General features: G+C 38.9%; 1 protein-coding gene and 1 long non-coding RNA gene across 4 annotated transcripts in view, besides 1 other annotated feature; one reads left to right on the top strand and one right to left on the bottom strand.

Annotated features, from left to right (window-relative positions):
* The window catches only part of UNC5C-AS1 (UNC5C antisense RNA 1), a 38,581-nt gene extending 38,183 nt beyond the window's left edge, over positions 1 to 398 (bottom strand). For both annotated transcript variants that reach the window (NR_183914.1, NR_183913.1), the window contains exon 1: positions 315 to 398. This is a non-coding gene — a long non-coding RNA (UNC5C antisense RNA 1). The remainder of the gene's footprint in view (positions 1 to 314) is intronic.
* Positions 2 to 131: an enhancer, noted in NCBI's record as "active region_21730". NCBI's record gives its function as "activates an Ori minimal core promoter by ATAC-STARR-seq in GM12878 lymphoblastoid cells {active_cell/tissue: GM12878}" and the evidence as "EXISTENCE:reporter gene assay evidence [ECO:0000049][PMID:35858748]".
* Positions 399 to 572: 174 nt separating the features above from the next.
* Positions 573 to 13,957, top strand: part of UNC5C (unc-5 netrin receptor C) — a 386,470-nt gene continuing 373,085 nt past the window's right edge. For both annotated transcript variants that reach the window (NM_003728.4, XM_005263321.4), the window contains exon 1: positions 573 to 812. In NM_003728.4, the coding sequence (NP_003719.3) occupies positions 689 to 812 (124 nt within the window). In that variant the 5' untranslated portion in view covers positions 573 to 688. The remainder of the gene's footprint in view (positions 813 to 13,957) is intronic.

Genomic DNA, 13,957 nt, shown 5'->3' with positions numbered 1-13,957 from the left:
CAATCCTTGCTTACATAAGGCGGGCGGGCGTGCTCCCGCCCCCGGTTACCCCCCAGAGGAGTTGTGCTGCGCCCTCTACGCCTCCTTGGCGAGCGCCTTCGCGCACCCGTGCGCCCTACTCTAGGATGTGAACCTCCTTGGCCACCCAGCAGCGACAGCCGGGACATCTCTCCGCCGGCGTGAGAACACTGAGATTGGAGACCAGAGCGCCTGACGGTGCCCAAGCTTCCTCCCTCCGTTCCCTCCTCCTCCAACTCCCCCCACTTCAACCCCCACCCCCACCCCCACCCCCGGTGTCTGTGTGTGTTCCTCACAGGCGAGGGGACCCGGAGAGCAGTCCAGACTTCGGCGTGCGGCGGAGCTGCGGCTGCTCCTGCTGCTGGGGGGAGCGGCGGAGGTGGCCGCCTTGCGCCTCCCTGGACTTCCCAAGTGGGGGCAGAGCAGTCGCTCGCGGGAGACGTCAGTTAGAAGGCATTGGGAAAGAGGGACCTTCAAACTCCTCCTCGGCGTCTCCTCTCCTCCCCCTTTTGGCCCCTGCCTTTGGAGAAAGTGGAGTGTGGCGCTTGGTTGTCGTTATTTCTTCGGACTGCTTCGCGGTGCACGGATTCAGCTTCTGCCCAGTGGGGCTTTCAGCTGTTTGCGCGTCTCTCTGTCCCCCTCCCCTCCCCCCGGCACACCTCTGTCTACGATGAGGAAAGGTCTGCGGGCGACAGCGGCCCGCTGCGGACTGGGACTGGGATACTTGCTGCAAATGCTCGTGCTACCTGCCCTGGCCCTGCTCAGCGCCAGCGGCACTGGCTCCGCCGCCCAAGGTAAGGGGGTCCGCCAAGCTCCGCGGCCACCTCCCTTAGCTTCTTCCTTCCCTCCTTCCTCTCCTCCTCCCCAGTTCTCTTGACTTCCTCAATTTGCCTCGTTGCTTTCAACTGGAAACCACTCTAAATTCCACTTTCCCAACTAGTCAAGAAGCTTTGATTATAATAATAATAATTATTATTATTATTATGTTTAATCTATCTTCTGAGATGGGCACGAATGGACCAGGGACGAACGGGGTGTGGACACGCAGCCGATCCGTCTCCATACGTGTGGGAGCCTGGAGTGTCTTGTGCCCTTTCAGCTCCGCACGCGCACGTTGTTGCATATTGCACACACGGAGGTTTGGAAAGACTCTCGGTGCGGGTGGCTGTGTGACATACCGTAGATGCACCCCGAAGCGCATGATGCGCAGAGGCTCCCCGCGCTGTGCCAAGACTGGGGTAGCAGGATCTTCACTGAGTCTCTGAGCACACTAGACCCCGAAGGGCGCTCAGCTAAGGAAATGTGTCCATTACTGTCAAGGACTCAAAAGCACCCGTCCCCCTCGCCTGCTGCTTCAGGTGCTGTGGAAATACACAGCTCACCCGAATCCGCGTACCCGGCTGGAGGCAGGCCCGGGATGTGCATGCCTCTGCACTCATACATACCCCGCTTCATGCCTGCTTCCCACCAGGGGATGTAGAAATGAAAATCCCGGAGCTCTGGGGGAACCGGCTGCTTGTTCAAACCAAATCCGAAACTCCCCGGGGTAGTCGACCAGTTTATAACTCTGACATTTTAATTTAACGCCTGTGAACTTTAACATAAGTGACCGGGGCCCTGGGCGAAGCCGGGTTGGGAAGAGTGTGGCCGGGAGTTGGGGATGGGTAAGGGAGGAGGGGAGGCTCCGGAGCTGATCGCCCGGCTCCCTTCTTGTCCGCCTAGTTTGAAGTGTTAGCAGCAGCTCCCAGCCTTCAAAGCCGGGAAAGCTGACTGGAAGGGAGCGCAGAAGAAAGAGCCAAGGCTGTCCCCTCCGGGGTCTCTTTCAGGTCACCTGGGCCCCAAAACTTCTGGCCAAGCCCAGCTCCTACTTGGGTCTCTTAGCCCACTTCAGTGGTGATAGCCGGCTCAGGCGAGGCAGCTCAGCTTTTCCTGGAAGAGGAGAGAATGAAGGAAGCTTATGCAGCATTCAGAGGCAATTCAGGGATTCTCCCTTCACTCTCGGTTACTCTTCCTTCCAAATTTGGAGAGTAAAGGGAGGCTTTACGATAGCCCCAACTCCCCAGGTGATGTTCAGACACCCTAGGGTTTCCGGACAGCATTCCCTCTGATCTTAGAGAGGCGCTGGGGGTGGGGATGGGGGTGTTGGAAGCGGAGGAGAGCGCCTAGCATAGGAGTGCGGTCTGGGTGGAGAGGTAAGTGATTAGCAAGGCTTTGTGAATTAGCGATAGCTTCTTCGGAAGTAAATTTTCCTGCTGCCCTGCTAAGTGGCCCTGCTCATAAATCCTTCCTTCCTTTCTCGCCAGATGCCTCCCATCCCTGAGGTTCTGCTCTGGTTTTCTTATGCACACCTCCAGAGTTCATCTGTCTGTCTATTTAAAAAGGAATCTCCACCGAGAATCATAGCTTGTGGATTTCCTAAAATTGATAAGAAGTTCTCAGGGCGCTAGCCAAGGGTGCTTAGAGGGGGGTGTTTGGAAGCTTAAGTGAACAACCTTATGAATAGTCGTGGAATCAACCGCGCGACTCCCTGTGGAATTCGCCTGCTGTTACTGGGCATACAAAGGACTGAGCCATGGGGGTGGGTGGCGGGAGAGGGGGACGGGGCACGGTGAGAGAACTGTTTGGGAAAAAGACAAGTTAAAGTCCCCAAAGATGCCAAACAAGAGATAGGATTCCTGCTAAGAGCTTACAATAACCAAATTAAAAAGACTGGGTAGAAAAAGGATCAATAAAGATAATCAAACAGCAGATTGTAAATGGATTAATATTGAAAGAAGAAGGGAGAAGAGATTAAAAAGAAAAGATGCTTAGGATAGACTTTTTCTCTTGCACTTTTTGTAGCGTAGGCAAGTTAAAGATTGGGGACTGATTCTCATCTTAAGTGGAAAAAGAAAATGTACTCCGTTGGGTGTATGCATTTCACTGCAGTTCTTGTCCATTTCGTTTATTTAGTTCCTTCAGTTTTTGATTAGTAAAATTTTTGTTTGAATCTCATGGTCTGTAAAATGCACTATTCCACCGCTTTTATCTTTGTTATCCTCCATGTTCCAGGGATAGCAGCTCTTCCTGTGTTGTCTGTTAGTTATCAAAGGAAGGATAAAGCACCAAACTCCACTATCAGCTACTACCTTCATCACTGCAGTACAGTAACCCAGCCTGTTTATCTTGAGCCACCGTTAACACTTTCCTTGCAGAATCACACATTTTATAAATGGTCTGATAGTCAGACCTCCTTTTCCTTCTTATTCTTCTTCTTTCTCCTTTCCTTGGACTAGAACACTAGCCCATACCCTCAAGGTATGATTTCCTTGTGGTGATGACTTAAAGATCCAAATGAACTATTTCTTATGAATGAAAGTCCAAGAGCAATTAACATGGGAAAGTTACTTTAAGCACTTTACAATGTGGATGAGGTTTTTATTCTGTTGCTGAAGTACTGCAAAAATTAGAAGTATGTATATATATCTTCAGAGATAATCAAGGAAACAACAGATATTTAAGATAAAACATAGAATAGGCATTATTTGTGAGTGTACTGAGTTTTGTAACTGTGGTTTAGGCAGCAGTCATTTTCAATAGGTCCTTGGGAAATTCTCTAGGCTGTAGGCAACAACTTTCTCCTTTCTGGCTATGCCCTAATTGTTTCATTCAGGATTGCTGGGAACTCCTAGCTCCAGGGAATTTGTAGTGTTTGTGACTTCCAAGAATGAAAGATTTTACTAGTAAAAGGCAGTGTGTGTGTGTGTGTGTGTGTGCGCGCGCGCGCGTGTGTGTGAGATCAGTGTGCTTCTGAATTAGGACCCTCCTGGTTTATAAATGCATTTTATCTGGGCTACACAGCATTGATATGCTGCTTATCTAGCTCCAACTAGTGTTATGAGTGTTAACACCACCAAACTCAGGACAAAAAATTACTGAAGTCTCTAATTAGATTGGGATAATTCCCTATTATCTTAATTCATAGTTTTTTTTTTTAAATAACATATGTCTTCCTACAAAAGAGTAAAAATTCCTTTATGCATGTTTGCATATTGGTGTGGTACAAATAGACAGTCAACAGTGAAGACAACTAAAGTTCATTACAATTCTATCGTATACTTTTTCATTGTAGGAGTACAGAAAGTTTATGAATTCACATTAGGAATATGCAATAAGGAAAAGTAGGCTAGTTTACTTCTGTTTAGAAAAATAATTTTGTGTATTCTAGCTTAGAGAATGCTTAAAATCTTCAAAGAATAAACTTTTCAAACACTTGCAAAGAATTAGGAATCATTAGATTATAACTGACATTTATTGACTCCCTGGACTCCTGTATTCTGGATACTGAGGGTAAAGAGTTAAATAAGACAGGGTCCTCGAACACCTCCTATTGTAGTTTGGAGCTGGTTGTCCTAGTCAGAACTTGTATGGGTCTATTTTAAGCAACCCCCCCTAAGGACATGAACAAGGCATGAGCTCTGCTAAGTAAACCCTGTTAGCTTATTTAGAATTATTGTTGAGACTTAAACATAACTGTTCTCTAATGTATGCTAGGTTCTCCAATTAGTGCCAACAGCAAGTGTGCTCTATTAGGCCTTAACTGCGTTTAACACTTTTCTGATTTAGGTCATGGCTTTGCAGAAGCAGCAGAGGGAGTCACTCTCAGAAGAAACATTAAAATTACAGGCTGCAACCACTTTAGGAAGATAATGGGGAAAATTGTGGGGGTTGAGATTGAGCCAGTGCTATTGCCTTGAAGTTTTAGCCTACATATTTTTTTAGTTTGACTTTTATATTTGTGGCAGTTAAAAACAAACCTGTTCACATTTCCTCACAAATTAGAAACAATGGCTTCTATGGATAGAGTATGGTATTAGAAGTAAAGTTCTTAAGCAATTATTGTGCACTCATATTGCATCCTAGGCTGAATGCTATTTGTTAGAAACGGAATGTAACCAGGCAGTTTAAGCCCTACAGGAAGACAGAAGTAGAACCATGGAATTATAATTCACTTTCTTAAGTATAAAAGCGGACACAGGTATAGTACTTTCTGGATTCAGACATCCGAAGATAGTAAACATAGGTGAAGCTAGGATTCTAATGTGAGTGGTGGGTGGGGGGTTCTAAAATTTCTACACAGAAGAACGTGGGAGCAGTGATTTGGCTGGAAGTTGTATGTTCTTGAAGCTAAGTTTGCGTTGCAACAGCATTTTACTTAGATTTAATGCAAGTTTCATCTGGCTCTGGGGAGGCACAGGCTAAGAGCTGTTAATGGTGTATGCCCATTCTGTCAGTTAACATAGTGATTACCAATGTTTCCTAATACTGCTTCCAGCACCTCCAGCTGTGTGACTATGAGCAAGACATTTAACGTTTCCGTGCCTTAGTTTCCTCATATGTAAAAATGAGGATAATATATACTACAGGTTACAATTAGAGCAGCTTTTAGCTCATAGAAAATAAGTATTATTCCTTGACTTTCAATTCTACAAACCGTTGGCAAAGAAATCTAGATGTAAAAGAAACTAAAGGTCAATAATTTTGAACTCAGAGTGATGATAGCTGCTGACACTGCTTCCCCAAAAGCAAGAAATGGAGCTATCTGAAGAGATGCTGCGGAGTAGATCATTGTAAACTCCTGGACAGAGTACAGTTCTCTGAACAGCCTGTGGGAATCTCATTCCCTTCCACAGTCTCTTTTCTTCCCTTCTGTTCTCTCTGGGAAAATTAACCTAATATTAGTTCTAAAAATGACACGTTAAGTCACTCCCAGTTAAGTCCTTGCAAGAAGCTCGTCCTTGACTTTCTATTTTCTCAAGGGATACTGAAAGATAACTTTTCATAAATCCATGAACACTATTACAGAAAAAAGGTACACCCCAGGATTTCTGATAAGGGTTTGGGGAAAATCAGACCTTTATGTGAATGTGGACAGTTTTTCTTTAAAAGAAAATGGACACAAGTATATACTCTAAAGAACATAATTGGTTTTCTGTTCAAACAAAATAAACATAAAAATAGGTCAACACGAAGGCAAAGAAAATTCACCAGAACTTTCATTTATTCAAACTATATTTGCAATAGGAAGTTTCGTTATCCTAATTTAAAACAGCACAGATAATCTAGATGACATATATTTTGGTGAAATATTTGCATCTAACTCTTATTGTTTAATGGTTATTGCCATTCTTTGCATGTTTGGAGCAAATGTTTTCTGTCAGACTTTTGAGATAAAATAAGAGATTTGTAGGGCATTTTATATTACTTACGGTTTAGATTTTTCTCCTACAAAATTGTCATTCTGCTTCTATTATTGGTTCTGGTTCTGCACTCTTTCTTTTTTAACCTGATTTCTTAAACCTATGTATGGATGCTTCTTTGGTTTCATTTCTTACTTGGATTTGTTATTGCTTATGTATTTGTGGAGGAGGGCTACATGAATATGAGACCTTTGGTATTATTCCAGTATCTCTTAGCTCAAGGATGTTTTACTCACAGAAACTTGGTGCTGTTTTTTAATGCTACTTTGAAGTAGAGTAAGTTTGCCTTGAGCGATATTCAAACACTAGTGTTTCCCTTTTTTCTAGTTTTAAAAAAAGAAACTTAGTAATGGGATAATTTATAGTTTCTCTTATTTTAAATATTTGTTATTTTCAAACTTACAGAGATTTTAATAAAAACATTTTATAGGAACACTTTTATGAGCTAACAAGATCAGAAATAGAAAACTTTTTTTTTTATCCTGTCTACCTGTATGGAGCCACCAGAAGAATTTCTGCCTTTTCATGAAAACCCAAAACATATATCATGTTGCAGATATTTGGACTCTTTATGAACAATATGTTTGAAAATATTGAGCTGAAATTTCAGAATTAAAAAAATAGTTTTGTGTTGAAGTTGTACTGTGGTTTTTTGTTTTGAGCATTGCTGCTCCCCAAAATGTTGCTCATATATAATGAGATTTTGAAATACACAGAAGAATGTTTCCAGATTTTATAAGTATTTAAAACATACCTCCCCTTCTACATGGAGTACATAGTGTTAAAGTTGCCATGACATTAATTAAGTTGAAGTTACAATTTAGAAAGTGAGCTATAGCTTTGAAAGTGCCAAATATGCAGATATTTGTCCTTAGGTCAGTATAGCTTTTATTAGCAATGAGCAGTGATTCAAAAGTGCCTTGTGTGGCAAAAGTGAAGTATAACATCTGAAAATCCCCATGTTTGGTGAATACCCTCTTTTAGTTAAATAACTAAACACATCTTATTGCCAACGTGGTAGTGGAATGTGAGCGTGAGGGGAGCCGGGTGAAACTTCATTATATAGATATGCCTGTTAGAGTTCTTATTTTAAATACCAGGGCTCACAATAATCATATTAACAGATGATATTGATTACTCAGATTTAACACCAGAGTTACCAGTCTTACTTATTTTAAAATGTTGTGAGGATAGGGGGTTTTATCTTCATTAATCATGTTGTCATGTGGATCCTGTGGCTAGTTTCATTTCTCAGCAATTATGAGAGCTATAAAAATGCCTCATGTAGATGACCATGGATTATATCCTCTTCTAACTGACGATGTGAAACAACAGAAACTCCCTCAGCACACTTAACAAGTTCATTGATGCATGCTAGTATTTCTCAGTTTTAGTCAATCTCTTAATTGATTATTTAATCATGGACTGCCTGAACTCTATTCTTATTTATTGTTTTCTCTCTTTTTATTTCTGTTCAGAAGAACCACCTTATATGTGGATATTTCTTTCCAATAAAAACAGAATAGTGCTTGTTTATTAAAATGCATCTACAGTCCAGTTGTAAGGGATATATCCATAAATAGAAATATATCCATAAATAGAAATGCAGGTTTTCTCAAAATTAAAAAAACTTAGAGTATATAATAATATAAAATATAAATATGTAGTACAGAAGTAAAGCACAGCATTTGTAGATAAAAGTGATCATTTTAAATTAATTCATAAAATACATTCTCTTAGATAATAGAAGTTTAGTGCAATCTAATGGGGTACGTGATATAAAAGTATCCACTTATAATTACAAGTAAAAGAAATTCATGTGCAGCAGTCCTTCCTTAAATGCAGGAGATACTTTCCAAGACCCCCAATGGATGCCTGAAACTACAGATAGTATGGAACTCCCATCTACACTGCTTTTTTTTCATCTGATAACCGAGATAACTACTAAGTGACTACCAGGTGGGGAGTCTATACAGCATGGGTACATTGGATGAAGGAGTGATTCATGTCTGAGAGATTTTGTCACGCTACTCAGAGCTCCATGCAGTTTAAAACTTACGAATTGTTTGTTTCTGAAATTTTCCATTTAATGTTTTTGGACCACAGTTGACCTCAGGTAATTGAAACTGCAGAAAGTGAACTGCAGATAAGCAGGGGGACTACTTTACCTTTACTAAAGGTAAAAGGAGCAATTTGGGACTCTTCTATTCTCTATGAATTTGCATATTTGTTACTTGTATTCAAATTCAATATTTTAAATAATTCTAATATCTTTTTGGAATTTCATATGGCCTTAAAAACCCTTTGAAGAACTAGATCAAAGATTATATTTTAGCCAGTGGTATTCCATAACTTTTATAGAAACTAAAAATGATAGTCAGTGAAAAGAGCACTATGTTATTATACATGATTTTTGGAGATCTGTATTATTACTAATCAAAATCAAACAAGTAACCAAATTATTACCACAACAAAAACTTTATGATTGGAAATACAAAGTAAATAATGGTAATTTCACTTTGAACTGTATGTCTATGTGAAATACATTGACATTTGAATTTCGTTTTTGATTAAGGGAAAATGATATATTTTATCTCATTGAATAAAGTGTTTGGCAAATATACACATTGTAGCCGCCCAGTGGAAGTGCTCAAGTTTAGCAAGCAGCAATCTTGAAGTCATTCTAAATGAAACATTGATTATGGTGCCTGTCATTTTATTTAGCAACTTTCCTTTTTCCTTCTGGATCTCCTCTGTAAGATGATGAAAGAATAAAGCTTAAAAATGTGTTAGGGATCAAATTCAAGGATTGAAGGAGGCTCAGACATTCCCCGCCCTGCCTCCCACAGCCATCACCCACAGAGCATGCAGGGTGGTGGAAAACAGAAGCCCATTTGAGTAACTGCTCTCAGAAGCTGAGGAAAAACCGACATGTTCAAATGATTTATTTGTGCTATCCGGAATAGAGACCCTAGATCAGTATTTCATCATAATATTATTCAACAGGCCCTCTGACTTGAAACTTTTACCTAAATAGAGTCTTGATTTGCACTTATTTCAATTAATATAGCAAAAGAATTTGGGAAGTATTTAAAAGGTATAAACTTGTAAGAAGTTTGAATTTTATTGGAACTATTTGGGCAGGATGTGCTTGTTTGAGAAATCTAGATTTAAATCAGTGCTATACTAGTATCCTCCAGGGGTTTTATAAAATGCTACTTCCTAAGCTACTCCGTTAAGAATTGTTGTCATTTTTATTTTTGTTTATATTTATACACACATATATAAATCTGTATAGAATTAAAATGACCACAGTGAAAAATATTATAGTTTATTTACTATTACATGGTAAAAAAAAAAAAAGTAGAAGGATGGCTAGGATAAGTTTTGGCAGTAAGTATGTTTTCCCGGTAGCAAGGGAGAGGAGATCATTTTATTGGATTTATTAGACGTGGTGATCACATGAAAGATACACATGCCATTTTTTATTGAATTAAATAAATATGGAAATATTTCCTGGGAGGGTGTTTCCAGGCCGATTCTTAACGAAATGAAGAATGACAAGGAGAAGACAAATATAGTTCACTAATTCCCTGTGAGCATATATGTGCTTACACAAATTGTATGTGAGTGTGTGTGTTTGTGTAGCTTTTTATGTTTTAGGAGCAAGAGTTCATTTTCAAACAGACTTGGCAATATCCTCAAAAAACCAATGGAGTCTATCAAACCAATGGAAAAAACTTTTTAACTTATAAAACAAATTCATAAAGATAGTCAAGGACTTGAAACTTGGATTTAATCACTGATTTCTGAATGAAGAATTATATCTTACTTTTCTGAGAAAAGTTGCCTTGCTCTTGGCAAATTGCGAAGTCATTTCCCCAGTTTCCAAAGAGATGTTTTTGTCTCATTAGTGCAGTGGCTTATCTGATGGAAACAAGTTCTCTCCTGTCATCCAAGTGACAGAGACTAGGGGATCTCCACTTTCACTGACTTGTTTCAAAGCCGTGGAGGAGAACTGCTGTTGTTTTCCTACACGGTGGACTATAATTTGTTGACCAAAGGAGACTGTCGACTTTTATGCATGCAGTGCACGCAGGAGTAAAATCCTTTCTTCACATTTATGAACCCCTCTCTGGGTGCTCTCTGGAAGAGACAGCATGTCCCTGGTAAGCACCCTACATGAGGTGACCTCTCATGTGGGCTGATTGAAGAAGAGGTCAGTTGTACTGTTCTTCTCTGACCAGAATAAAGTGATGGTTTGTTTCAAGCTCTTAATCAAATGGAGTTATGTTTGATTTTCTTGGACACCCTCATATGCCATATTGGTGGCTTTATTTCCAGGTTTATCCATTACTTCCATTTAAAGCTTTATTTAAATGGATGAAGATAAAGTCAATTGCGAGGAAGGAAAGCTTGTTACTAAAGAAAGAATAAACATAATTTTATTCAGGATATAGTGATATATGCTTCCTTACTTATATTCACTACTGTATTAAATACAGGTTAACATATGAATATTTACATAATACATCAATATATAAACATATATTGATTATTATTGTCATACATTCCCATATCACTTGGCATTTTTGAACTAGGATTTTTAAAGTGTGTAAGTAAATTCTAGGATTAAGCAAACTGTTTTGAATGTTTTCTTTCATACATATACCATTCATTGATGATGTGGGGTTTTCATAGTGAAATATGTAGTGCACTGCTAAGAACAGCAAAATAAATAATAATGCATTACAAAGTTTTCAGATTACAAGTCTAAATCCTAATGAGGGAGGTTGCCTGTTTAATGCTGAATGCAAGTTTAAAAAGAGGGTCTTAAAGATAACAGCGGACTCCAGAGTCCTTGAGTTTGTTTTGCATTCAGTGACAGTCACTAAATTAGGGAAAGGAATGTTCAAACAACACACTTGAGGAAAAGTGATTTTTATAGAAAGGAGCCATTTCTGCTAATAGCCAGTAACTGCACATAACCCCGCTGACATTAAAAGTCCATTAGCTAAGCCCAGTTTCAATAGCAGCTGATGCAGTGTCAGCTAAATGTACATTGGAATTTTTTCATATAATGCAGTAATAGCAGTTCTATAATTTTTTTCCCTAAAACTACATACATTAAGTAAAACAAATGTCATCTGATAGTAGTGGCAGGGCTGCTAATAAACAGGCAGAGATTTGTGATGAAACAAAAGTAACAGTCTATATAACAAGAAGATAATAAATAGTAGTGATGGTTTTTAAAGGGAGCCTTTGAGAAAAATCATATGGAGAAGCTTAAGCTGACATTCAGAAAGAGTTGTTTCCATAGAAGCACATATTAACATGAGCTACTTTGAGAAATTTATTTAAAGTGAAGTGATTTTTTTTACTTTTAGCTGAGTGTCTGGTTTTTCAGTGTATTTTGAAACTATACGACGCTCCCCCCACCCCAAACACTGTTATGTGTGTAAATGGGAGAGAGAGTAACGAAATTAGAAAAGAGAGCAAGTAAAAACAGGAATGTGTCCTAATATTTTTAAGGTGATCACTATAATAATCCTTTTGAAAGTAGTATGATGCATTATTGCTGTCTGAAATGAAATTGAAGTTTGACACACCCATATTATCTCCCCCAAAAGAGTTGCTTATATATACATTTTTTCATCTTTTGAATATTTTCTAATCTTCATTTCAATCATCTGAAAGGCAAGAAGTTTTACCGCAAATTTACACTAGTATCCAAAGTTCATTAGTAAGTCGTCCTAACATATTCTCTAGGACAGTGTTCTGCAACTATGAAGCCATTGTGGAGACAAACGAGATTGCTTAGTAATCTAATGTGTGTTGAGAACAGGGCAGTAATTAATCAGTGGCTGTCGTGCTTACACCACTATAAAGTATTACGAGAACCTCCACGCCGACCTTCCCCTCCCCTATTATCAGACCATTAGTGAAGCTCTGTACAAGTAACAACAGTGGAGCCCTGCTTAAGCATATGACCCCAATAGCTTGTGGATAAGCTTTGTGAGCATTTTCACAACGGTCACTTGAATTCTCATTATACTTTCTAGTAGTCAGAATTATTTATTCAATATTCTAACCAGAGGCATCACATCTTTTATTTATTTATATTTTAAAATTAAGTCCATATTTCCTTATATGGGTTTTAAAAAAAAACTCTCACATAACCCATCATTTGTTGGAAAAAGAGAAAGCAAAGAAAGGAAAAGGAAAAGCTTACTCTTAACCGTAGTGGGGTGGCAGAGATTTCCCCCTATGTTAATAGATTTTCATACATGCATTTCTTAATAAAATCAAGAGGTACTCTTTGGTGTTGTTAACTGTTTTAATTCAGTTCAGGCCATTGTAAAAGCTTATTTTGAGTGATTTGGGAGCTTACATGGTCAGGGTTTAAGCAATTAAATTACTAACCAAAATCCCATTTACTAACATATTGCATGAGGGACTTGATGAATAATCTCGTCTTTAGCATATAACTCAAACATTAATAACAGAAGGAAATATGCCTCAGTTCAAGCCATGGGCTTTGATTTTTAATTCTAAACCCATTTTATTTTTTTCAGACTCAAATATCTATTAAAAGTGACTATTTTCCATATGTTTTTCCTTTTGTATTGCATAAAACTTAATTCTATTGTGAAATGAATAAAGAATGTCATTGTATTTGGCCACACAATAAATTTACACACATCTATGAACTAGTATTATGAAACTGAATTATGTTGAAAATAACAAGATGATGCCAGACTGACTGAAATAGGACAATTATTACATTAGATTTTGGAATAGGTTTTAGAAAAAAATTACCCTGCACTGTTAATGCACTGTTACTTTCATGGATAACTTTAAAAGTGTGTTCTTTTTTTCTGTATGAATGACACTAAAAAAAAATATATTGAGTGGCTGGGCGCAATGGCTCATGCCTGTAATCCTAGCACTTTGGGAGGCCAAGGCCGGTGGATCGCCTGAGGTCAGGAGTTCAAGACCAGCCTAGCCAACCTGGTGAAATCCCATCTCTACTAAAAATACAAAAATTAGCTGGGCATGGTGGCATGCACCTGTAGTCCCAGCTACTTGGGAAGCTGAGGCAGGAGAATCACTTGAACAGGAGGCAGAGGTTGCAGTAAGCAGAGATCGTGCTATTGCACTCCAGCCTGGGTGACAAGAGCGAGACTCCATCTCAAAAAAAAAAAATATATATATATATATATATATGTATGTATGTATATGGACTGCCAACACATTAGAGTATGGATTGATCCTTACTTGATTATTTATTATTTATGCTTATAAAACTTTTATTAAAATAGTCTTTAATAACTTTCATTTTTTAAAGTATATCATGGCTGTGTTTCCTTGAGTGAATGCTTTAAGTCTCTTTTTTTCCAGCTCAATCTTTCTTTAATTGCTAGAGAATTAAAAATGTACTGGATGTGTGCATATATTTGTATGTATGTGTGCACCCGTGTGTGCGTGTTTGGATCTGATAATTTCCTGATATAGGAAATGAATCAAATTACTTTGAAAAAAATATTAAGATGTACAACCAAATATATTCATCTGACACCTGTACTGGCCAAATACTAATGGCAGCCTTTATCTAAGTCTCTTGGTAAAGATGAATAAATTGTGCTAAAATATGTCCTTTGCAAATTGCATACAAGTTAAAATCTTAGTTTCACTTCATA

This window comes from Homo sapiens, chromosome 4, assembly GCF_000001405.40.
Source record: "Homo sapiens chromosome 4, GRCh38.p14 Primary Assembly".
NCBI lineage: Eukaryota > Metazoa > Chordata > Mammalia > Primates > Hominidae > Homo > Homo sapiens.
The sequence above is the reverse complement of the archived record's forward strand: the minus strand, read 5'-3'. Positions and strand labels throughout refer to the sequence as shown.